The 27,773-nt window shown below is 38.0% G+C and overlaps 1 protein-coding gene and 2 pseudogenes across 52 annotated transcripts in view; all 3 read right to left on the bottom strand.

Moving 5' to 3' along the window:
* DLG2 (discs large MAGUK scaffold protein 2) overlaps nucleotides 1-27,773 on the bottom strand; it is a 2,173,362-nt gene that overhangs the window by 334,757 nt on the left and 1,810,832 nt on the right. The gene's annotated exons all lie outside the window — the stretch shown is intronic.
* On the bottom strand, nucleotides 68-1,843 carry LOC100420800 (suppressor of cytokine signaling 6 pseudogene; annotated as a pseudogene).
* Nucleotides 24,498-25,899, bottom strand: LDHAL6DP (lactate dehydrogenase A like 6D, pseudogene; annotated as a pseudogene).

A 27,773-nucleotide genomic window follows, 5' to 3' on the forward strand; every position in this document is an offset into this window, starting at 1 on the left:
ATCTTTTGACCTCGTGATCTGCCTGCCTCGGCCTTCCAACGTGCTGGGATTACAGGCGTGAGCCACCACTGATGACTCTTTTATACATAAAAGTGAAATAGTTATGGCAGCAAAAGATTTTGATGGCAATGAAAGTTTGTAAACTGTGTTTCAATCTCTTTTTCTTATTCCCAAAGTGCAAGATGCAGGGTTCTCAGTCTTTCAGTAGTGCTTCTCCTGTAAATAATCCTTCATTTTGTTTGGCAAAGGCAGTTTCTGAATTAAGTCTATTCTGGTATACTGACATAAAACAAAATGACACAGGTACTGCAACGAGTGTACCTGCATGAACCGAGACACTGGCTTGGCCAGTCTGACAAGGTAAGTTGCAGATCCAGGCAGCTGAGACCTTGAATAACAAAAAGTTCCATTTTCAGAGTCCCTGACTGAATGCTCAATTAGATCAACTATGGATGTATGCCCTTCCACATTTGGCTGTTCATAAAAGCTAAACCTACCATTTGAGTGCCCAAGTCTAGTGTGAACTGTTTTACCATGGGAGCGAAAGCTCAAGCTTAAAAGGTAACAGTCTTCAGAACTGTCCCAATCAAGGAAAGAACCATCTGGCAGGACTGCTAGCTTCCCTTCTGCCTCCCAACATGTGATTGGTCCCCAGTACCATCCTTGTTTTGCAAGATCTTTTTAGCTCCTCTGTAAGGCTTGTCACTACCATGGGACCACTACTTTGCACTGAGACATAAACTCTTGCAACACCAGGAGCAGAGTTAAAATCAAAATTCAAATGACAGAGCATACTTTCAGCCATGTGGGCTTCTGTGCCAGTAAGTCCACTGAAGTTCCTTTGGATTTGATTATTTTGCATTGGAGGTAGCAATGGTGAGAGTGGAGGGACATGATGCGGACCCACTCTGGGGCTCTGCAACATGACTCCCGTGGTGCCAGTCAACAACCCATTCATGGACTGATCCACAAAGATCTCTGGGGCAACAACTAGGTTCTGGTCTGCCTGACTCTCATCTTCGGGGAAAGAGCGCCCTCCCACTTGAGAAGGAACCACAGAGACTTCCATGGTAGAAGAACTGTCCAGACAATAGCTACTTGATCCTTCCAAAGGACACATCCCCTCATCTAAAGGCACAGTATACTGAATGTAGTCCTGAGGCAGAAGTCCAATAACGACAGGCACATGTTCATCCAGGCGAAGATACAGGTCTCCGTTCTGAGAAGCCGAGCTTTTCAGTGAATTGGCTTGTTCCTGGCACGCGGTCTCAGACTGAAGGTCGTGGAAATCCTTTCGGACGCCATTCAGGGGTGGACTCGGACTGGAAGAGTGGCCTTGACTCTCACCTCCATCTTGATGCACGTCTCCTCAGAGTTTGTGGGTCGAAGAGGCCATGGCATGGGACTGCAGTGATGGCTGCGGAGGGAGGTGGCCTTATCGGCCTCTGAGCTCTCACGGCTTTAAAGACTATCGGTGCTGAGGAGGAGGAGAAGGTGTCCTCATCGGCAGAGCTCCCAGAGGGTTTGCCCGCCTTGCCTTTTGGCTTCTGTTTGGCAGAAAGCTGCCTTTTTAACGTATCCATCAAGCTTTTGCTTTTTGATCTGTCTTTTTTTTCTTTTCCACCTTTTTCGTCTTTCCTGTTGATATCGCAGTTGGCCATATCTTTACCATAGCAGCTACCAAATTAGGAATTATCTTTCCAAAGTCACTGGCTAGCGATGGTTGTTGTACTACCATGAAATCAGTTTATTTTTTACTTTTATTCAAGTTAAAGGATTTCCAGAAGGTTTTAAAACTGATTTTCTTCATTATGACTAGTTACCTAATCCAACGGATGAAAATACTAGGGGATTCACTTCTGGCATGATGGAATGAGATGGTCAGCCGGGCGCGGTGGCTCACGCCTGTAATCCGAACACTTTGGGAGTTCGAGGTGGGCAGATCGCTTGAGCCCAGGAGCTCAAGACCAGCTTGGGCAACATAGGGAAGAGCCCGTCTCCGAAGGTGGCCGGGCTACGCTTCCTCTCCCAGGACCGGCGTGACTGCTGCGCTCGCCTTTCCTCCAGCAAGTCCTTCTCCCGCCTCCTTCCTCCTCCTCCAGCTTGTGTGTACTTTTTAAAGATTCACTATATGCACATGCAAGCACATGACTTTATTTCTCTTGCTCTCCTTACATACATATTTTAATATATTATTGCCTTTTTATTTAACTGAATAGATCATAACATATATAATTTGACAGCTTTTGTTTTGCTTTTCATTGAGCAATGTATCTTGGACATCTTTCATTATCATATCAGCTCATATCATTCTACCTTTTTAATGAAAGCCCAGTATTCCATGTTATGGATGTCCCAGCACTTTTCAGTGAGATCCCTCTTGATGTTGTTAAGGTTGTTTCCAGTTTTTCTGCTACTATGAACACTTATAAAAGTGTTTCTGAAGGATAAGTTCCCTGGAAAGACTTCTTGGTGAAAGGGTATATGCATTACTTGTTTTTTTTTAATTTGCTATTGCACATTTTCAAAATGATTATTTATTCATTAAACATATAGGAACTAATAAATAAGAAAACAAAAACAGGCCATAATTGAATTGCCCAGATAGTGTACTGATATGAAAAATAAAATTAATATACCCACATCATATCCATATATCATAAGTAAGGCACAATGAAAAGACATACAATTAAAAGGCTCCCTTACCTCCTATTATTCTCTACAAAGGTAATCATGTGAATGGTTTCTTGTATATACTACTAATTATTTTTGTTGTGAATATAAGCCACTTTATAAAATATATAATTTAAAATTTTATACAAATAAGATCATGTTCTACACCTTGATTTTTTCCACTTACTAATATACCTTAGTCAGCTTTCTAATTTACATATTTCTTCCGATTAATCTCATTCTTTTTAATAGCTATGAGTGTTCTATTATTCAATGAAAAACAATTTGTTTTACCAGTGCATGGCTGATAGACAGCTAGGTAGCTTCATTATTTTGTTATTATAAACAATGAGGTAATAAATATCATCTAACAGTAAGTTGTTGAGTAAAGGATATGAATGTCAAATTTTGATAGGTATCGCCAGACTGCCTCTAAAAGTGTAGTATTAATTTATATGCCAACAAATAATATACGATTTTCAACTTCCTCACACTCTTGTAATAGTTACATATACCTCGACATTTGACTTTTTCCATTCTGATAGGTAAACAATTTTATTTTTAAATTTTGTGTTTCTTCAATTATAAGGTTAAGCATCTTCTTATATGTTTATTGGATATTTGAATTTATTTTTACATAAAATCCCTTTTTATTTATTTTGCTTTTTTTGTTGTTGTTGTTTAGGCAGTTTGCTCTTTCAAAAAATTATCTGCAAATGAAGAATGTTATTGTTCCTTCTTAGGTAACTATTACAAATATTCTTAGTTTGTTATTTGTACTGTTGTATTTTAACTTTTCTTTCGTACATTATTTCATATCATAGATAGAGTGAATTTTTAAACATTTAGTGAAGTCTTATTTAATTTCCTTTTCTTTTTTGGCTCTTAAGTTTTAGATTATATTTTCTCTTCACCAATCTATTTAACAAATTACCCATGTTTTCCTGTAGCAAACTATAGTTTAATCTTTAGCCATTTAATCCTTAATCAATTGGAATATACTTTAATGTTTGATGTGAGAACCAAGTGAACAGCCACAATTTCTTGGACGTTTCCTTTACAGCATAAGATTTCTACATGTTTCATCATTCTAGTCATCCTCTGAATTTTTTTTCAGTGCATTAAGAAAACTGCATGGAAAAATGGGAAGGAACAAAGGATTTGCAGTTAGACAAAACGGGTTAAATCTCAAGTCTACCTAGGTTTCCTAGGTAACCTGGGGAAGTCACTTAACTTCTTTGAACCTTAGCTTCCTTTTCTATAAAATGAGTATACCTACCTACCTACCTACCTATCAGGGCTGTTGCAGGTATAAACAGGCATTCAGCAAATAGTATCTATTATTATTGTTTTAGCATTTCTTCAAAGAGCTGTGATTATAAGTGATGAAATAAAATCTAATAGAAATTAACCAACACAGAGTGCAATATATTAGTTACTTCATGCTTTTTTTAAAAAGAGGAACACAACATTTTAGGAGTAGAAGAGCCTTAGAAACTTGTTTGTCTAGCACTTATACATTAGAGATGAACCCCGTAAAGGAAGGGACTGGCCCAAAGTCATACTGAAGTTAGCATAGGGATAGGACCAGCCAAGCGCTCCTCTTGCCAAGCCCAGAGTTCTTTCTAGTTTAGCAGATGTGCTCTAATATGTGAGTTTGTTTCTTTTTCACTGGACCAATAATAAAATCTTGTTCATTTTAGGCCCAAATCTACATGGGCCTCTGCATTTTTGGAGAGGTTTGTTGCTGCTGTTATCCTGAAAAATATCATATTGCCCTTGTTCCTGTTGATTTCTTCCCTGGTTTTAGCAAACATGTTCTTCTCCAGTCTTTCAAACTTTTCAAGATCACTTTGATTCTTATTTCTATCCCTGAGGTTTGAGTTTTTATCAGTAAACCTTGAACAAATAACATTTTCAAGTATTCACAGTTTACATCATTGATATGACATTTTAAAATACCAAGTGTGACACAGCCTCATATATTTACTATTGGTTTTTTTTTTTTTTTTTTTTTTTTTTGCTTCAGTTTGAACTTTTTCACCTGGATGCATGGATTCTGAGAGTTCTATTTAGAGTCCTCTCCTCTCCAAGAAAAATTCTTTTCTTGAAGCATACATTCTCAAAGATTGGATGCCATTAATTATTGTTGAGATTAATAATAATAATTGTTAACATTAATTGAGCATCAGGTATGTACATCAGAGATAGTTATATATTATTTCATTTAATCCTCAGGAGGGTGGGATTATTTTTCCCATTTTACTGATAAGAAAACTAGGCTCAGAGACTCACTGACTTACTCAAATTTATATGGTGGAAAGAGGCTAAGGATCTAAAATAATGTAACTAATACTCCTGAGTTCCTAACTACCAATTTACACTGTAATTTAATATCCTGTCTAATTCCGAGGGTCTACGCCTACAAGATTCTAGTTCTGAAACCTGTCTTTCAAGGGCATAAGTCAAGCTCCCTGAGACTGGCAGCAGATGATTGGGTGTGTTTTGCCACTCTGCTCTGTGGTGGTCCAAAAGCAACCTGATCTAGAAATTATGGCCCAACTTATAATGATTAGATCATGTAGGGCTAAAGCAAAAGGCATTGTCAAGCTAGAACAATTTCATTTATTGCTACCTCTTTATGTATATGACTTTTATTGGATCATTAAAATATTTATATTCCGGCCAGGCGCGGTGCTCACGCCTGTAATCCCAGCACTTTGGGAGGCCGAGGTGGGCAGATCATAAGGTCAGGAGATTGAGACCATCCTGGCTAACATGGCGAAACCCCGTCTCTACTAAAAATACAAAAAAAAATTAGCCAGGTGTGGTGGCAGTCACCTGTAGTCCCAGCTACTTGGGAGGCTGAGGCAGGAGAATGGCGTGAACATGGGAGGCAGAGCTTGCAGTGAGCTGAGATCGTGCCACTGCACTCCAGCCTGGGGGACAGAGTGAGACTCTTTATAAGAAAAAAAATATCTATATCTATATCTATATCTATATATCTATATCTATATCTATCTATTTGGGTAAGTTCCTTAATCATACACATATATATTCCATATGTTTTGGCATCCTTTTCACAATAATATTGGTAATGAATAGAAATTTGAGCACTTTTAGTTGACTTCTAGTTGTGTTGCTGCTGCTGTTTTTCACATCTTAATGTGAAGATGAGTGGTTTACCATTCCCAAGGTCAAATTTTTTTTCTTTTTGTTTTTAAGAGATGATCATTATATTTGCTACTTCTCCCACTAGGGGCATTTATTCCTTGAATAAATGATGATTCTCTGGAAATATTTGTCTATTTCTTAGTGCTATAGAATGAATGATATCAGAATCAGAGGATTTCAAAAATGGAGGAAGTCTTGTGATCTTCTTCAACCCCAATTTATATCATTAGGCTGATTCAAACACATTCTTATACCCTTGTCCCTCACCATGTTGACCTTTTAAAATTTCTCTGATTCAGCCATTTCTGCATTTATGCACATGCTATTTTCCATATCTAGAACATAGCTTCTCACTCTTTCCTCATCTGGAAAACTTCTTCTAGTTCTTAAAGACTCAATTCAAACTGAGTTGTGTAATGTATCTATTTATAAGCTCCTTAAAAGTCAGATCTCTGCTTATTGGAACTTGTGTTCCTGGCATAGGGTCAGGCAAATAATAGGTGCAAAAGAATAAAAGAGGATTGTGAGTGAATAAGTGAGTGGATGAGTGAATAATATTTTCTCACTGCATTATCCTAGGCAAATGATCATCTAACCTCCATGTGACACTGGATCAACACTAATGAAGAACTCACTGCCTTTCAGGAAAATCCATTCTGTTTGGGTCAGCTCCAGTGATTAAAACAAACAAATGAAAAAAACCAAAACAGTTCTTTGTGTTGAATCTTTCTTTCCACCTCTTGGCTTCAGTTCTGCCCTCTGATGGCTCACAAAACAATATCATTTCTTCTTCTATATGATCCTAATATTTGAACACATTTTTCACTTTTCCAGGGAGTGATCCCACTCCCTTCCGCATCCCTTCATATCATTCTCACCAAGTGACCATTTGCTTGTGCTTGCATACCTCCTGTGTCAGGGAATTCTCCTTCCCTAGTTTCTAAATTCTATTTTTTGTTATCTCTTATGGGTGTTATTTCCAGCATCTTGATATAATGTAATATCTCATTAGAGACTCAGATAAGTGATTGTGAGATCAAATATGGCAATATGGATGCTTACCCTATGGTTCACTGTACTATCTTTTAATGTGTGCCTACCGTAGTGCCTAGAGATAAACACAGTATTGAAATATATTTGTTTTTTAAAAAGTATCCACTTAGTTATTTCACTTTCCAGTTTAAGGGAAGAATGAACTAGAGTGACACATAGCCATTGTCAAGCAATGTGCTGTTCATTGCAGGACAGTGACAGCTAAACACATGATTAAATGCTGGGCGGTAAGTGCTAGCACAAAAAAAGTCAGAATTCTGTGGCGTACAGAGGAGGCATTCCTACCAAGGGATGAGGAGGAATGAGCTTTCCTGGAGAAAGTGACATTGAGATGAGGTCATGAATGTTAGCAAGGTGAGGATGGGTGGAGGTTCTCACAGAGGGGGAGATTGGGGTGAGGAGACCAGTGGCAAGAGTATTCAAGGCAGAAAGGGAGGCACATATGGAGGGCTGGAGGTGAGAGAGGGCCTGCACATCTGAAGAACAGGAAGCAGTTGTTACTGAAGGGTAGATACGGGAGGAACAAATGTGAGAAAGAAGTGATGAAGGAAAAGAAGAAGAAGAAGAAGAAGAAGAAGATGATGATGATGGTGATGATGGTAGCTGACATGTACATAACACTTAATATGTGCCAGGCACTGTTATAAGCATTTGATATACAGAAATTCCCTTAGCCCTCATAACAACTGTGTGAAGTAAGAACACACAACAATCCCCATTTTACAGAGGTGGTAACTGAGGCACAGATTAAGTAACTTGTCCGAGGGTACATTGCTAACATATGACAAAGTCAGGAATGAAACCCAGGCAGTGTGGTTTAAGTGTCTGCATTCTTTTTTTTTTTGTTTTGTTTTTGTTTTTGTTTTTTGAGACAAAATCTCTCTCTTTTCTCCCAGACTGGAGTGCAGTGGTGCTATCTCGCTCACTGCAAGCTTCGCCTTCTGGGTTCATGCCATTCTCCTGCCTCAGCCTCCCGAGTAGCTGGGACTACAGGCACTCGCCACCATGCCCAGCTAATTTTATGTATTTTTAGTAGAGATGGGGTTTCACTGTATTAGCCAGGATGGTCTCGATCTCCTGACCTTGTGATCCGCCCGCCTCGGCCTCCCAAAGTGCTGGGAATACAGGCGTGAGCCACTGCACCCGGCCGCGTTTGCATTCTTAACCATGACATAGCCTCTCAAGGATCTGGTGATCCAGGGCATGATAAGCCATTTTAGTATATTTGACCATAATGAGGAGTCATTCCTCAGCTTAAAATTGAGAAATATTATTTTAACGTCATTCTTGTGCCCCAGGAGTGCTTACAGGTAGAGAGAATGCACAGGAAGGGAATATGCAGGAAGCATGTGCTTATGGCCAGCCTGGCTACAGGACTCTGAGGTTGGATGGACCCCCTTGGAGATGCTGCTTAGAAGGCAGAGCAAATGCTCATGGCTGCCAAGGTTTTCCACCACAGCTCATGTCATCTGCCTGCTCTGAAAGCAGTGTCCTGGGAAGAATACTGGGTTTAGACCCGGGAAGGCCAGGATTCAAATCTTGGTCCCTTCCCTTACCAGCTCTATGACTTTGGGTAAGTTCCTTAATCTCTTTGAACTTGTTTCCTCATATGCATCAAAAGATGTGAACCCTTCTTTTGTTAGGCTGTTATCAGGATTATTAGAGTTTAAGCAAATAAAATGCTTAAAATAATATTTGGTACATGGTAGGTACTTACTAAATAGTTGCTATGTGTATTATAGCATATCCATTATCTATGTGACCAGGACTTTTAACTGGCTTTTATTAGCAATAATAAAACCAAAGAATATGTTTGGTAGAAGACTATCTTAGGATAAAAGTAGGTAAGAACTACAAATTTAACAGAATTATTAACTGTGAAAAAAATACAAAGGAGTAACCAAATGGGAAAAGGCTAGATAATTGGCACCACATTTCAATTAAAATGAGACAGGTACAGAACACAGGGGACTGTTTCAAGCCAATAATTTCACAGTTGGGGGTCTGGGTGCAAGGTGGCAGGGGGCAGCAGGGAAGAAATTGGTGTAGGATCCAAACTATCTCTACTTTATTCAGAGAGACCATGGATAGGAAGATGAACAGATGTATTACAGTGTATTAAATACATGTAGAAGGCTCCCGTTCTTTTTCAAGAGGGAAAAAAATCTATTTTCATTTTTCCTGAAGTGATGAGATGCAACGAAGTGAAAATGTAAGTTCTGTTGCCAACTCTGCCATCAACTTATTCAAGCCAGCTAAGGAGCTGCTCTGAAAAATGAAGGTGCTGGGCCACACCATCTCTAGGGTCCCCTGTGTTGTAAATTTAATTATTTCTATGGCTTAAAAATAACATCTCAAAAGTATTTCACAGTTAGTAAACTGCTTCCCCACCTCACATTTGTTACTGAACAAGGTGATACATAAACTAACAAATAGAATAAACAAATTCACATGTATTAAATGATCTTACCACATACTTATGTGGGTAACAGGGAAACTACAGATATCACATTCAATGTTGAATTGTGAGCAGTCTGATGGCTGGCATAGAACATAGATAGGGAGAAAGAAAAAATGCTGCCAGCAGAAGTAGACCTTGAATGCCAGGGCAAGAAGTTTTGTCAATAAGTGGCTATGGAAGGGTTTTACAGAAGCATTTAACACAATTGGACCTGTGTTTATGGGAGAACAACTCTGGCAACAGTGAGAAACTGGGGTTAATGAATTAAGTGAGGACAGGGTAGGAAGTATCCCAGTAGATAATCGGATGTGATACTATTGAAGTGTTACCAATGATACAAATAATTAAGGCCCAAATTAGGCAAATGAGGGTGGATTTGAGGGTGGGAGATGTGGCACAAATTTGAGAGAGGAAAACAGAGGAAGATTCTATGCAGCTATTCTCCTCAAATACTTCTGGAAGCCAAACAGAGTTTAAATAATATTTACTGTGTTGAGCAGATTGAAAATGGGAAATGGGGAAGGTGTCAAAAAGCTTTAGGATGATTGGAGGTGTGATGATACCATTAATCAAGACAGGAACACAGGATGGAGAGTGGGTTTGGGTGGGAGGATAATGTATTTTGTTTTAGACATGTTGACTTTGCTATGTCTGTTGGATATCTACAGTTTTGCAGACAGTTAGAAAATATCTACCTGAAGCTTAGAGAAGTGGCCAATGTTCAAAATCATTTTAGATTTCATATTCCTGTGGTCAGTACCCTGGTCAAATTAGACACAGATGTAGAAGAAGCTTGATATACAAGATGGGGATAATAAGAGTACCACATCACAGAGTTGCTGTAAGGTTAGATTAGTTAATACATGTAAAGCATTTAGAACAGTGCCTGGCATCTAGTAAGGGCATATAATTATTAGCTATTGTTGAACCCTCTCCTGACGTACACAAAGAGGATGACTTGGGAGAGTATAAAATTATCTCAATGCAGGCTCATTTGACCAGGGAAAAGTGCTAGGGTTGAAGGCACTGAAACAGAAAAGCACAATCCTAGGAGTCAGGAGTGCTGAGTTCCAGTCATGCTGTTAGCTTATTTGACTTTGAGAAGCCCCTTCATCTCTCTGGGCCTCAGTTTCTTTATCTAGAAAGAGAGCCTCATACTAAATCACAGAGGTACCGTCTAATGCTTAATAAACAAATATATTCTATGCTCAAAATGTATTTTGTTGACAACTTGAGACAAACAGATCATTATGCATTAAATTTTTCAAATACCCTCCAGCATGTTTCAGAGTGAGTGAACTATAAATTGTATTTGAAGTGGAAATTTCTAATTAAGTTCCCTTCCCCTCCTGGAGGCTGTTATACTTTGTGGAGAGTGGTAATATTTCTGACAGTATATGCATTACAGCTCAAGACTAGAATCCTTCTGGAGCAGAGGCAAAGTGAAAAATTGATATTGAATATTTATGTATCTTAGCAGTTAAACATTAACTTCCCTTTAAATTTGGATTCCTGATGCAAAAACAGGCTTATAGTTAAAAAAAATTAGACCTTTAAAAATGTTTTGGATTACCAGGTCATTTCTAGAGGGATGATTATTTTGGAATCTTTAAATGAAAATAATAAAGTATAACTTGGCTGTCCAAACCCAGCTTATTAAAGGCTGAAAGACAGTAAGATCTAGAATTCATGCATTTCAAGTAAAAAGTTAACTATCTTTATAAGAATATATAAGCAAAAAATAGTTGAAACCTTATACAAATATTATACAAACACAAGCTGATACTAGTATCTCCAAGCTCTGATTTTTACATTAACTCCAGACTTGAAATCTATCTGCTTACTTGACATCTGCAGATAGATGTGTAAGACTTTTCAAACTCATCGTGCTCAAAATCAAACTCAAAATTTCTCCCAAACATGTTTCTCGAGAGTTTTCTCATTTTCAGCAAACAGTACTACCACCATTCTCCTCTCAAACCACTGAATCAAGAACCTCCATTCATTTCTTACCCTCCCACCTCCCCATGCAATCCCTTAGTTCATAGCCATATTCTAATTCCATGCATTTTCTCTAACTCCACCCCATCCCTCTAGGCCAAGCTATCATTTTCCCTGGGAATACTACAGTAGCCTCGATGGGTCCCTCCATTGTCTCTGTGGCCCACTCCTCCCACCCTCCTCTATCCCCTTTTGACTCGGCAGCCAGAATGATCTCAAACTCTGTATCAGATCATGCCTCTCCTCTGCTAAAATCTTTCTTTTGGCTCCTTGTTAGACTTTGAATGAAATTCAAACTCCTTTCCTCGGGCTCTGCCTATCCCTCTTATTCCATCTTATTCCACTCTGTCTTCTTTACTGTTTGCTGGCCACAAGGGCCTTCATTCTGTTTTGCATCAGTCCAAGTTTCCTCCAGTCTTACAGCATTTATGCCAGTGGTCCCTTTGACTGGAGTGCTCTTACCTAGCTTTTCTCATCTTTGACAACTTATTTTCATAAGCTCAAATGCCAATTCCTCAAAGAGCTCTTTGCTGACAATCACATTGAAAGTAGCCTCCCAGCCTATCTCTAATTCATCTGGTTTTACTTTCTTACAGAATTTAGGCCCACATGTTATTCTGTTTATTATCTCACCCACCCCGAGAAAAGCTTCCCATAAGTAGAGACCTTGAGTGTCTCTTTTAACTCCATACTTTTAGTGCTGACTACACTATGTAGATATTCAACAATATTCCTTAAACTAATGAATGGTTATAACTATTAAATCACATAACTTTATTTAAATCATTAAAATTTATTTGACAACCAGTTACTGTGCACTTGTTATAAGCCAGGTACTAATTAGAGTCCTTTTCAGAAGGCATTTGTCCTCTAGGGGGAGAATGGTTGATGAAACTGAACTCACTGAATCAGCATCTTTGAGGGTGAGGCCCAAGACTTTTTTTTTTTCTTTTTTTGAGACAGGGTCTTACTCTGTTGCTCAGGCTAGATAGCAGTGACATGACATGCACCATTATGCCTCGCTAATTAAAAAAAAAATTGTAGAGCAACCAATATGTTCCTTGAAGCACCAATATGTCTTAAATGTCCTTGCAAACATTGTTAAACAACCACCTCCACTTCATCCAAGCCTCTAAATTGTTCAGGCAGTGTCAGACTCTGGGCTGAAGGCTAAATTCCTACCCTTCAAGATCTGCTTTGTGGCTTCTCAACTCACCCACCAAATGTTCTATCCTGAGATGAGATGTGTGTGTGCTGCTAGGCTGACAGATTCCCTTTGGTTAGGGTTAAATTTGAAGCTGAGATCCTTTCTCTGGTGGATGGTGGTAAGAAAAAAGCCTTCTGAATTTGCTCAACATGTTCTCCCTTTTGAAATCAGTGGACTAACTGAAAGTGCTCTATTATTCTTTATTTAAACTTAGTTTTTTTGTGATTTCTGGGTTTCAGGTATTAAAATATCACTATTTAATCTACTGTTAAAACACTATCAATAATAAATTGATTAAATAGATAATGAACTATTCATATAATGGAATACTATGCAGTCATTAAAAGCAACAGCATACATGTCTAATATTTTGAAACTAAAAAAAAGTCATTATCTATTGCTAAATTAAAGAAAAGCAAGCTGTAGAACTATATGTGTATCTAGTTTGTTTGTTTCAAAAAAAGAAAAGGATGAATGATCTTATAGAGAATGCCTGCAAGGTTACACAGTGAATTGATAACAGAGGCTTTAAGGGGCTATGGTATTGTGGTGGGGAGGGGAGAAATGCTGAAGAGGAGAGAATGGGTTACATTTCATTTTATAGCCCTTAACAGTATGTGAATATTTTTAAGTAAATATGTTGTATCATAACAATTTTAAAAGTCATACAAAAAAGTTTTAACTACTGAATTTGAGGTTTGTGTTACCTTAGCAATAAAAGGCAAAAGGGGTTATGTAGGCAAATTTAAAATATGATAATATTTATAGAAAACATGAGTCCTAGGGTAATCAAATTTTCAAACATTGCATTAATCCATTCAATACATATTTACTGAATGCCTTCTTTGTGCCAGTCATTGTGCTATTTTTGGGGGATGGATTGGTGAAGAAAGCAATGGTTCAGCCCTAAGTGACTTAGAATCTAACAGTAGTTCTCAACTGGGTATGAAAAGGTGTCTATTTGTGAGGGGGGATGGTATTTTCTGTTGTTAAAATGTCCAAGTCAGGAGTCAGCATTGGCATTAATTGTAGAAGGCTCATGTGTGTTAAATGTTTTGCAAACCGTGGCACAATCAGGCATAGTGAAAAAATGTCCTTCCAAAGGTGCAATAACACCTGCAAAAGGAAATACTGAATCAATACCATTTTTCACATAAATGCCCTAATTCCCAGTGAACCTTATTATTTTGTTCAAACAAGTTCAGTTGGCTAAGTTCTGGGTCAAAGTTATTAACTAGGAATTTGTCTAAATAGTATACAGATTTGAAAGCAATAAGGATGTTCATTTCTACATATCCTATAATATTCACTAATTTGGTTTAGTTTACATAAACTAATCTGAGTGAGATTGTAATGTAAGTGAAAAGGGTTCTTGTTTCCTTTTTTCCTCATACACAATTAATCTTGTTCATAAGCTTTGGAATCAATTTTAAAGGAAGGAATAATGCTGCCTCCAGAGACATATCTGTCAAACAGTCCACTCCTAAAACATCTGAAAGGCTTGAGCAGGAATAATATATTAATGGAATTAATCTTGGTCAAAATCTGTTAATGCAAAACTCAAACTCTGGCTGCTGCATGTGGGACTCATCTGATGTTTTTTTCATCGTAGTTCCTCAAGTTGATGACATTCTTTTGTGTTTGGGCTTATGTGTATCTTGGCATCTGGCTGTTGCCCATAATTACATCTTAGTATTTCTTTGACTTATTCCTCATCTAAAAATAAGGTAATCATCTCATTGCCTAAAAGCTCCCAAGAAACAGGTTTTGTGAGTTTAGGCAAACTGTGTCAAGAACTCTTAAGTCCCCTCTTCCCAATTACTTTCATCAAATCTTCCCAATTGCAATCAGTCAAATCTTTTTGGGAAGTCAAAATCTTCCCAACTGCAATCAGTCAAATCAAGAGGAGGAGATCTGAATAAACAGAGATGCATGAAAATCAACTTGTATTCACCACTATGAATGAGAAATAATATTTATTAAACTATTTCTCTTCAAAATATCTGTTGCTTTTGTTTTTTCCTTTCTAATTTACTATGCTAGTTCTAAGCATTGATCTGAACTATTGAAACAGGCCCTGTTTCCTGTTTATTTTGAAAAATTTCAAATTATAGAAAACTTGAAGAACATTATAATAAAAACTCATAAAGATTCAACAGTTCTTAACATTTTGGTACATTTGTTCTCCCTCTCTTCCTCCTTCTCACTCTCTCCACTTACCTACCTATCTGCCTAGCAGAAGACACACACACACACACACACACACACACAGACACACACTTTTTCTGAACCATTTGAATTATGTTGCAGACGTCATTCCACTTTCAATCTAACATATCAGCAAGGCATCTTCCCAGTGTAAAGACATTTTCTGTATAACCACAATGCCATTATTACTCCAGAGAAAGCAAACAAAACTAATATTTCTATAACATTTAATATATTGCACCTATTCAAATTTCCTCCGTTATCCTCCAAATGTCTTTTACAGATTTTTTTCTTAAATCCAGGATTTAAGTTTTATGCATTGCATTTGGTTGTTACTATGTCTTTAGTCATTATTAGTCTTGAACATTACCTACATTTTTCTTTAAATAAAATTTACTCTTTTTTTAAAAATAATTTCAGTCAGATGCTTATAGAGTGTTCTGCATTTTGAATTTGTCTGATTGTTTCTTCAGAATCAGGTGAAACATTTTTAGCAAAATCCAGTGTGTAATGAATGCTGTGTATTTCTTACTGCGTCATAGCAGGAAGCTCAAAATACATGGACCACCAGATCTCTTCATTTAAAAGGCACCTTTCTATTTTGCAAATAACAATCTATAAGGTGGTTTATTTGAGACCATGTAAATATCCTTTTTCCAGTCAACTTTAACCCCTAATTGTTTTAGCATCTATGGATTATGCTTTCTTGAAATAGTTATTTTGTAGCGGGTTAAAAAATGGTTATTTTATAAATTCTTTATTTATTCTAGAATTATTAGCTGGTATTATTTTGTGCAGGAGAGCTTCTCCCATATATATATATAATTTTTCTCTATCATTCTGGATTTATTTTTGATATATCATGACATAATTTTTTATATATCATATTAGAATGTTTTTGATATATAATATTGTTCTTTTTGATATATCATATATTTGGTTTTTTGATATAGCATGATATTATATCTCATTACCATGTGGTAGACTTCTAATTGATGTTAGCTTTTCCTCTAATCTCTGTCTCTCTCCCATCCTCCCTCTCCCTTTTGTCTACTCTCAATACCTTGATAGTCATCTTGTATATCACAACCACTCTACTTTTCTTTAAATACTGCCTTTCACATTTTATACATGCCACAGATGCTCATATTCATCTGTGTTCCTAACTGCTTGTAAATTATGTGCAAATTTCTTAGCCCTATATTTAAGCCCTTTCACAATGCAGCTTTTACCACAACCCTCTCTAGTCTTTTTAAGACCAGATACTTCTCTGATATGAGGGAACGTTAGAGTGGATTCTGTCTAGTCCTCCCATATCATTGGTGGAAAAAGTGAGGCACAGAGAATGAAGTTATTTTCCAAGGTCACTCAGTGTATTTGTAGTAGAGTCCAGATGAGAATGCTAGAGTTCAATGTCCTACATTACACGCCTCCTCTCCTAAGCAAACCCTCTGCTGCTGCTAGAAGCTTCATGTCCATCCCTAGCCTAATGTTATTCCCTTGGGCCTAACTTCCTCCTCCTTGTTTTACTTCCTGTTTTCCTGGATTCTTTGAAGTCTTGGCCTTCTCCCTTGTCCAGGTCAGGTTCTATCTTCCCAGACCTCCTGTAATCATGATGGTCCGTGACACTTACTTGGCCATCAGCCCCACAACCTGGCAGCATTACATGAATTTTGGTCCTTCTTTACTCTTTTATTATTATTTTTCAGGTGAGCAGTAATGCAAGCTCATTTTAAACAACTAAAACAATACAAAAAAACAGCAAGTAAACTGTGAACATCTTTCTATCTTAACCTTCAGGTAACCACTGATAATAAACTAGACAAATTAACTCTATACACTTTCTCTACACATATTTACATATCCCCAGCTACATTCCCAATGTCTAGGATAGTGCCTGGTTCCTGTCAGTGAGTGAATATATGTGAGTGGAAAAACATTCATGTTTACCTCCATATATAGTCATTGTTTTAAAGAATGATCCCATAATAACACACGATGTTCTGTGATTTGCTTTCTTTTTCTATTTACCTTTTTAATGAATAAATATCAATAACTAGACTGTAAGCCCCACGAGGGCAGTCCCAGCCACTGTTTCAGGCTTCTTGTTTTCCCAGGATGTGGCACAAATCGATGTCCTCATACATTATTACTGAGGGTGACTACAGCTTTACGTGCTTGATGAATCTCTTCCTCAACTCTGAAGAAGCCTTAAGGTTCACAAAGACTCCTGTTCCTCTAAAGAGGAATTATTAATCAGCTCACCAAGGATTTCATGGCCAATTTCAGTGTCTAATAGTGAAAACGATGTAAACTAGAAAAGAAAGTATAAGCGAGGAGAATAATATAGCAGACAAGCAGGACCCTAGAAGGTGGCAACCAACTTTGCCACCTTGAAAGGCATAATTCTCTATACTGGAGCTGCCATCTTGAATGTGGACTTTTGTGGGAAGTATTAGGCAGACCACATAAATACAGCCTTAACTCCAAGCATTACTGATTTCAAAAAATGCTTCTAGACATTTGGGAAAACTAGAAGCAGCAACAGAATCATTTCAAAACTCTCCTGAAAAGACAAACTCCATACAATAAGGAGTGAGAAAGAGTGACCATCGTCTGGAATCATCTCTCCTTCATCACTTTCCTTTGTTCTCTGAAGCATATATCAAGACTTCATAAAAGCAGTCAAGGCTGTGCTGAATCTTTCACTATCAGTCCCAAGTGGATATTATAAGCATCAGAAAAATTTTCCATTTACACAGGCAGGGAGGTATTTTCAGTAATTTATATCTTTTCTAATTACTAACCAATTCTCTCTTTCCAGCCTCCCAATTTAGCACATAGAATTGCTGCTCCCTGCAGAAAACAACTCTCCAGCAAGGTGTGAGTTTCCATGGTTAGTTGCCAGAGCTTCAGATGTGAACGGAGCTGCAAAGCCACAATCCATTCAGTAGATAAAAACATCAAGAAATAAAGTTCCACTGCATTCGTTCAGTTCCTAGCACAAAGTGAATGCTCAGTAAATAATAGGAAGGAGGGGAAAAGCGAATCAGGAGAACAGAAAAGAAAAGGAGAGAGGGAATAAAGGGAGAAGAAATCAAGGCAATTGACTTTCAAACTGTTTGTGACCAAGAATTTAACTGTGGAAGGAGATCACTAATAAAGATAATACTAGTTACTGAATACTGAACAAGAGGGTATTGTGTTAGGCTTGTTATTGTTAATCCTCCCAAGAACTTTGCTGAGGTCAACTTTAAGATGGGAAAACTGAGGCACAGAAAGATTAGATGCTTCGAAAGTAGCAGAGCTAACATAAGAGATACGGTCTGTGTGGTGCACACACTGTGTCCTTTCTCCCCTACTTAATCTTCCCTCTTCTCTTATAATACCTGCTGTCTCCAGCCTTAGGTCTGCAGGTAACACTCCTATCTTTGACAGTCATCAATGTTGCTATGTGCTTCCAAATCTACTTCTGCTCCCCACGCATACACATTCCCTTCCCCATAATATCACATGCCTTCTAACAGCAGCCTCGTGCCGGTCATCACAATGGGCCACTTTGCTTTTCCATCTCAGTAAACAGCCCCCTCCAGGCATACTGTAGTCTTGGTGTCTACAGGCTGTTTCCCTGTTTCTTTAGGGCAAGCTTGGTCAGTGCAGGGACCAGCTTTCCTCAACAGCTCTGCCACTTTGGGTATTAGAGAGCACAACAATCTCCCAGAGCATTTTAACGTCAAACCCTTTTAATATTCCTGTGGCCAAGTTCAGTGCCTTCTCACCCAGCTCCTTCCTTGAATTATGCTTCAGCCTATATTGGGGCCAGTTCTGTGAGAGGCTGGCTGCAGGTTCTGATCAGCGGTGGGCTCTGCCACATCTTGTGAGACCAAGAGGCATTAAGTCAGTAAGCACAAGGGCAGCAGTCATCCAGAAGGGGAAGAAGCACTGGAGGCTGCCTGAAACAGAGGACCTGGAACTCTCAAACTCCATTCACTGCACTAACAGTTGCCAGCAACAGAATAAAATATATGTGACTAGCCCTTGCTGTTCTTGGCACGAGGAGTTCCATGAAACCCAGACATATAATTCTGCATTCTTTAAATCATCATCCTCTATCTTTTCCCTTTCCAAGTTTGCATTGCATGCAGTTTCCTGTTGCATTGTTTTCTCTTTTGTCAAACTCCTACCACCTGGAAAAGTTGCCATGTACACTGCACTGTACACCGTACACCATACACTGCACACTGCACTGTAAAGGTGTGGTCCCTTGATTCTCATTTTTTTTCCTCTCTATTATACCCTCACCCTTTCCTCCCATTCTCCCCTGCAGGGTCTCACCTCTGTGATCCTCTCCTGATCTGTCTCTCTGCATCTGTGACTAGATTCCCTTCACTTCTTCCTTCCTTACCTTTCCTCTGCGGCTGGGCTGTGTCTATTTCCTCCTCCTGCAGCTGGTCTCACTTGCTTTTTCTTACCACCTCCCTCTGAGTGATCTGCCTCTACTTTCCTGCTGCATCCTCTCTTCTCTTCTCTGGTTGATTTATCGTGCTTTATTGGGAAGACAGCCTATGACTGGCTGTTTACCACCTAATTTCTGGAATTGTGTTATCCTTTTGAAGTCCAAACTGATGTGCTGTGAAAGTCTCATAATTAGACTTATAAAAATAAATCTTTCTCATTCCACCATCAATACAACTAAAACACTGGGTTAGCTGTCAAATACAGGCAAGCCAGAGGAGCTTGCTCCTGAAAACTAAAATAGCAAAATTATCTGTGCTAGCATTTGGAAATGCTATCTTAGGCTGTGTTGCTTATACATAATGCTCTGTGACTCTAAGTCAAGGACAAGCCTCAAGTTAGGGTTTTTCCATGTAGGGCTTCTGGAGAAACTCCTTAGGATTTATAGGTCTCTGGAGCTTCTTCAAAATCCACTTGTTCCTGTCTACTATAGAGACCTGCTACATATCAAAGAACCAAGTGAATGTTCAACCCCCTTCTTAACACCATCATTATAAACTGAATGTTCTAAATTCTATATTTGCTCCTGAACTGACCCTTAGTCCTTGCCTAGAACCAGTCAGTCAACAATAGCTCAACTTTGGGCTTTTGGGTATGTATGTAGCTCAAGGTTTATATCATCTGCATTGTAACCTCCATTTCTTACCCATCCTTTGCCAATATTTTCTTCCCTCTTAAAAGTATGAAATAAGTACTGAAATGTTTCAATTTTTGTATGGCCCTAAGATACAAAATACGGGTTGAAGAAGCACTAAGGGGAAAATTCACATTTGGAGATGTGAAAACCATGAATATTATATTAGAAGACAGATGCATGCATGCCATCCATTTGCAGAGAATGCATCATTGCTAAATATTGCTTCTCTTCAAAGTTATGCATAATGAGAAAGTCAGGTAAACCAGGAAAAAGTATGGATTTTTGGATGAATAGGAGACTAAGCAAATAACTATGCATAAAAAGCATAAATCACTCACCAACAAATTGTATAAACTACAATGTGTTTTCCAGGATAAAGTGTGTGAAGGTATCTGTTGTATGAATACAAATTCACCCTTCTTTTCTTTCTTTTTCAGGCTTGTGAGTGTTTGACAATGTAAATTATTCTTCCTGAGAACAAGTCCACCTGAGGATTAGTGAATGGGTGTGATTTTCAACCAAAAAAACTTGTATTTAGCTGCCTTCTTTCTCACACCTATAAGTTCCTGGCTAATGTTGATATTTATCAAATGCTGTGTGCAATAAAAACAAGTATTTCCCTAAAGAAAGTAAATTGTGCTGCAATTGTTTATGTGTGTGTGTGTATGTATACATGTATATATGCTGTGTATAAAAATATAAATAATTTTGGTAATTATTGATGAGTAGATAATACCTTAGCACATTTATGTTCCTAAAGGAAGAAAAATCCAGGGATAGGTATATTTTCAAGAAGGCTTGGTAGATTTGGCTCTGGCTTGTGTCATCATTTAGCTTTGGAATTTTGTACTTTAGTTCCTTTGTTTATTAAATAAACAACAAACAAACAAATATTGTACAAGAGGAACTCTGGTATTCCATTCGGAGTTATGATTCTGTGATTCTATCTTGTGGTTTTAAAATACCTACATACTGTAAGATGTTTGATTCTGCAAAGAGCTATGAACCTATTCTGCCTTTTCCCATGCAAAAGTCATTCTTTTGTTTACTCATTTATTCTAGAAACATTTATTTGTGATTTACTATGTTTATTTATGATTTACAATAGGTTCTGTGCCATGTCCCATGGATTCAAAGATTATTTAGATAGCCTCTGTTCTTGAGGAGCTCAGTATATATAAGATGATCTCCTACTTTATAGAATTTTTTCTCAAAGACCTAACTGTAGAAAGTCAAGCTTTCTATGCAAATAACTCAATATGTACCCATAACTCCAAGTCCTGACGCTAACTGGTATTGTATTTTGGAGAAGTGGTTTATCTTCTGTGTTAAATCTCTGAGGTAGTGTAATAGAAGGGAAAGAGTGTGGGTTTTGTCCAGCAGACTCAGGATTGGAATTTTGACTCTGTACATCTATTAAGTGATGATAGGAATATCTACTTCAAAATGGTTGCAGAGTTATATTGAGAACTGAATAAGGTGATGCAGATGAAAACCCACTCAATGAATGGTAGCTTTTGCTTTTACTATGGGAAATTGAAGAATACTTCTGCTTTGTTTAAGCACCCTTTTCAAATCAGTAAACCAATAAATTCATTTTTTCTGGACTAAATTCTTTGAAGACTCTTTTCTTAGTATAATCTATGGCTGTAACCTCTATGCAAGAGTCTGTATTAGGTTGAACCACACAAAATTGACAATATTCAACTTGACCTACAGAAATGGCAACTTCATATGGTTCAGCCTAATAACATTATTAATATCACTAAAAGAAAATTTTAATTTCTACTTTTTAATGTAAATAGCATGTACAATTTCAATTTTTTTCTAGAAGAGTATTTCCTCACTAAAAAGTATGTTTAGTGTGTAAAATTCACGACATTTGCTGTTTTGATTAAGAAAAATAATGTTAAAATAAATCTTCCTGGTTCTTTTTCCCAAAATAGTTTTAGGAAGTTTAAATTTGAGTTAAATGTTGTGAAAATTTTAGCCTCAGGAAATGTGAAAAGGGACATTAAAGTCTTATGTATTGTTGGCTATCAGGGAAAAGAGTAAATCTTTGACCATTCTAAAAGAACAACATTGGAGTTGTCAGCTAATGAGCTGAAAGTTGTTCTGTGATATATTACTGAGCAAAAGATTAGAGGAAACTAGTATAACAGAGAGAAAGAGAAAGAGAGCCCTATTTTTTCCCCTGCTGTATATGTGGCAGAGACTGAGGACTGGGAGTGTGTAGAAGTGTGAGAGAAAAATGTGGGAGAAGTGTTTAAAGTGTTCCAAGGAAACTAAAATGAAGACAAGAATATGTATGCTGGGGTTCAGGTTTTCAAAACAAGCTAGCTTCTACCTAGAACTTGTCATCAACACCCTTTACTAGTAGCTTTTGAACTTCCATCTGTCTACTGAGCTGGAAACACTCTTCTTCGTAGCCACATGTCATGCTGCCACCCTTGCCTTGGGAAGCTCAATTCAAATCCTACTTCTCCTATGAAATTCTCCCCAGTTACAGGGCATTTTCTAGAAGAACTGTTATTTCCTCTATCCTTAACACTAAAGCAAAATACTTCTATGTCTTCCAACTCTCCCATCCCAAGTGTTTTATAGATGGTTTGTGGTTGTGTTTAACAGTAATAGATGGGCTAAGAAATATATTTGTCCATCTGATATGGCCTCAAGACTATCTAGTCCACATTTATTGAACATCTACAATGTGCCAGGGGCTGTGTCATGTCATGTACTGAAATCAATAAAAATAAGACTTGGGTTTGGTATGAAGAAGATCACAGCCTTATGTAGCCATTTTTGAGATGTATAAATGAATAATCCTATGAAGCACTTATGATGTTTCTGAAATTCTTTCCTCATAAGGTTTACTGGGAATCCTATAATCCCACCATTTGAGATTCACTGTTTTGGTCTTAAACTTAGTAGATATACTGTGAAAATCTCGATATAGTTAGTTAAAATAATGCTTTGCCTGTTTCCTAACATTCAACCTCAGTGTGAACTCCTTCATCTGATTTCTTTCACTGAAGGACAGACAAGAAAGAGCATGAGGACACTAGACCCCTAGGTACCATAGAGTGTGAGGAGGGACCAGAATTGTGGGAAATGTACTTGAGGTCAGCTTTTATCTGGCAGGAGTTGCACAATGTTACAGAGTTGAGGAGATGGGATGATGACCAGAAGGCCAATGCCCATTCCTCTTAGAGTTGAAGCTCATTCTTAGAGCCTTGAGCACTGGGACTGTTGGTGGCACTGTCAAAGAAGGCAGGACCACTTGCTTTGTGTCAGGCACCATGATGGGTGCTCTATACCCCTTGGCACATTTAACCCCCATAACAATCCTTTGAAGCAGGAGTCATTGGCTCCATTTTATAAATAAGAAGACTCAGTTTGGGGAAGCTAAGTACTTGTCCAAAGTTTGCACATCTAGTTGATAGTAAAGCAGGGTTCAAGCCTCTTGCTGGTTCCAAAGCCATACTTTTTCATCTTCTTAACCTTTGAGAAATAAAGGAATCCAGTTACCCTCAAAAGGCAGGTACTACTTCAAGGGAAATACTTTTGAATGCAAGTCCATTTGAGGACCAGCCTCGTGCCGTATCAGAGGAAGACAATTTCAAAGTGAGAACAAATTTCATTTCCAACATTTTCAAGAGCAGAAACAAAGATTGTTTATAGGATCCTCTGAGATTTGATAAAAAAATTCCATCCTTTGCAGGAATGCTTTCTCCCAAGCCCTCTAAATGCCTGCAGATGGTCAGCTGGCTCCTGCTTGAGTAACTACAATGCAGTGACACAAGGCCTTTTCACTCCACCCACAGTGCTTAGCACAGTGAACAGACACATTAAGTCCTCAGTAACATCAGAAAATGGAGACTGAGTAAGGTTGAGTGACTTGTTCAAGATCAGTTAGGCGATACATGGTTTAGTATTTAAAACTAAACCTGTTACGAACTCTTGCTTTTAGATGATGCCTCTTTTGGTTCTAATGGCATTTTCTAGGGCAACACAAATAAGTCTACCTTCATTTCTGCAGAATGGTCTTGCAAGTGCTTTATCAACAAAAACAACAGCAGCAGCAGCAACAACAACAAAAATAACAGCCAACATTTATCAAATCCTTCCAGGTGCGAAATGTTACACTAAACACCACATGTATTATCAATTTCTCCTCATAACAGCCCTATACGTAGACACAGTCATCATTTTATTGATAAGAAAACTGAGGCACAGAGAAGTTAAATAAATTGCCGAAATTCACAATTACAAACAACAGAGTCAGGATGCAGACTCACTTTTTTTTCTTTATGTGCACTTTTATTTTTACATTGTAGAGAAAGTAATGACTTCTAAAAAGAGTATGTAAATGAGTATAATATAAGCCCATCAGACCAAAAAAATATTAGAACGTATTTAAAAGAATCAGGATTTCTATAAAACAATAAACACCTAGATCATACATTCTTTTGGACCAAATGGCAAGTGCATATACATACAAGGCAAGTACTGGCACATCAGACGTATCAAAAACACCTTCTTTGATGCAATCGCTTAGGAATTGTAAAAAATAAGTATCATTCAGCATCTGGATGCTAATAATAAAAGCGATAGAGGCTAAATAAACAGGGCCGTTACTCTACTCCCTTTCCTATTTCCTATTTTTAGGAATTCAAGTTTATTCAAAAGGTTTATATATAATCCCAAAACTGCTATTTCTCTTCTTCTATAATTTCAGAATGATAGCTTTACACAACTTTAAAGCTTGAGCTTCTTCTGAATTCCCAAAGTGTTTCTGTGCTCCTTTACAAATGGGCCACATCTTCAAGGGTCAGCTTTACCTGTGTAAGGTCTGCAAGACCATTCTCTCTCAGATACGAGGAACACTGAAGAATACATCATTCATTCCATAGAGGCCCTTAATTATGTGGAAACTGAATGCGCTCTCCTAGGATTCTCTAAAATGCTTTCTGTTCAATCTGTTACAGATGGGCCAATGGCCCAAGAAGTATAACCTTTCATTTTCATAATTTCATAAGCACTGGCAATCACTTCTTTGTGGACATTTTCCCCCTTGCTCTAGATCTTGATCAATTCCTTTATCTGAGTTTAGATCCTTCAGAGGGACACCAGCAATGTTCACTCCACTCCACACAGGAACACTTGAGTCCCCATGCTCTCCAAAGATCCACCCATGGCAGCTTCCAGAGTGGATTCCAAGCACTTGCACAGTCAAGAAATGGAAATGGGCAGTGTCCAGATTACAGCCATTTCCAATAATATGGGTTTTGAAAAATGTACTCAATTTCTAAGCTACATAAATTAAGATATCCACTGGACTGGAAACTATCAATTTGCAGCAGGACTATATTGAGTAATATTAGACATCATTAATTTAACGATGGCCACATTTAGACTGACTAAATTAAAGTGTTTCACCTTTTTCCTGGCATGCACCTGATGTGATAATCACTAGGTTGGAGTTTGCAGAGATGAGATAATCTTTGCTGGAAGCACTATCTGGCAGTTTTAGGAAAAGACTGCCATGTTTAAGATCCATTGTCTCACACCCTTCAATTCACCATTATCAACAGCTACAAAGGCAACTTCATCCCTCAAGTCTTTTAATAACATGGTGATTGCACGGGCCATGCTAACTGATCCAGTTCTTATAATGGAGACCTTACTGTGGTGAATAACCTCCTCTGAAGCAAAATTCTCAATAAATTCATTCTGGATAGTTACCATCACGTAACCAGAGGTGGGAAGGTTGGTTAAGGGCCAGCTGACCCTGTGATGTGCGTTCTCTGTTGGTGACACAGATTTATCCTGGGGCCAAGAAAATTTACTCCCATAGTGCCTACGCTCCAGCTGGACCACAGAACTCCTGCAGCCCACCTTGGGGATACACACACAAGAGGTGGATGGAGCAGAGAATGGAAGAAAGTGGTGGGCAAGCTGCAGGTTGAGCTTGCTGGGGCAAGCCGAAAGAACCTGTTTGAATGTTCAGTGCCTTTCACTTTACTTCAGCTATTGCAGTTACCAAGCAAGGCCATGCTTAGCTCCCTGCACACAGGCCTCATGGGGGCCTCTGGAAAGTGCTTCTGATGTCTGCTCAGATTAAAGCAGTAAAAAGGCTTCTTCTTTAGCTCTGTGTGAATCCTGGAGAATACAAACAAGTATTCTCTTCAATATCTGACATGGATAAGAGGCCAACCCAGATCTCTGGAATTACTCATTTCCTGTTTTTAGTAGGTATGCCAAGTCGGACCCACTCTGGCTCCTGAGCCTATAGCTTAAGCATCACTGTGTCTAATTCCCTCTCTTTCTCTCTCCTTCTTTGGGACATTTCACTTTGCCCTTCACCCTCTAATATATCATGTCCAGGAACCTTAATCCTATTCTGTGGCTTCTTGATATCTTTATAAAAATGCAGCAACTAGAGTGGAACATATAGCTTAGATAGAGTCTAACCAGTGTGGAGACAGAAGGATGTCTCCTTCCCACATTCCAGGACTACATTTCCGTAAATAGGCTCCAGCCTATTAGCCTATTGGCAGCATCATCAGATGGCTACCTAAAACCACAAGATCTTCTTTTAAGGAGCTGTTGCCATATGTCTCCATTCTAAACTGGTACAATTAATTTTGGAACCTGTATTTTCCCAGACTGTCTGTCTTAGCAGAGAATTTTGTATGCCTGGTAAATGTAAGTAGTTAATAAGTATTTATAGGATTTGTGTCAATATTTTGCTACCTTATGGCTACTTACTAGCTTAATGCCTCTGAACCTCAGTTTTTTTTCACTGGAAAATGGGAAAATAGTATATTCCCTGGTAGTGCTACAGGAGGTTCATATGAGATAATACATGCAGTGTAAGGTGATGTTATTATCACAGAGAATCTAGGTTTGAATTCCACACTAGAAAGGTAATTATAACTACTAAACCCATAATCACAGAAACCACAGCCTACAGGTCCTATAACTATCCCAAACATAAGATTATATGCCCAGATTTCAATCAGAAAACATTTTACAATTCCTTTCCCCCAAAGGATGTTCAACGTTTGCTTTCATTGCCCTCTAGTGGTTGCTATACAAAAGATATAACTACATTTTGTTTGTTTCTCATTTTGATTTTTGAGATGTCAGACACAATATCTTATAAATATTCTTCAAGTTTGGTTAGGTTACACACATTCCTGTCAGCTGGAAACCTTTAAATAATCAGCCTATAGGGACAGTACCTAACATTGTGTCCTGCGCAATACAGGTGTATACTGCCCATGCATTGTTGGCCATGCATTTATTTTACTAGATCTTTACTCAGAATCTACTGACTTAAAATAGTAATCTAGCTTCATTCATTCATTATATATTTATAAGATATATTATATGTCAGGTAAACAAGACAAGCATTGTCCTGGCTTACAATAGAGTAAGGAAAATGGAGTACTAAACATGTCTTTAAAAATTAACATGGTAAGTGCTGTCATAGGAAGAGTATGGGATATACAAAGCACATTAAGAGGGGTACCTAACTTGGAGGTGCTTCTGTGTGTTTTTGGAAGGTGAAGTGGGAATGGCAAGAGAAGGCATTTAGAGAATATAACAATCTAAGATTTGAAGGATGAATAGAATAGAAGAGTTATTCAGAAGAAGGTGGGGTGGGGAAAGTTTTCAGGAGAGGATACAATGTCAGATATAGTTACATGACAGAGAAAAGACTGACTTTTAGAGATATGGCTGGACAAGTTAAGAGAAGCTATATCGAGGAATTGAGACTTTATTTGGATGGTTAAGTTATAACCAATGGACTCTGAAAAAAGTATGAATGTATGCCT

The sequence above is a fragment of the Homo sapiens genome, chromosome 11 (assembly GCF_000001405.40).
Source record: "Homo sapiens chromosome 11, GRCh38.p14 Primary Assembly".
NCBI classification, from domain to species: domain Eukaryota; kingdom Metazoa; phylum Chordata; class Mammalia; order Primates; family Hominidae; genus Homo; species Homo sapiens.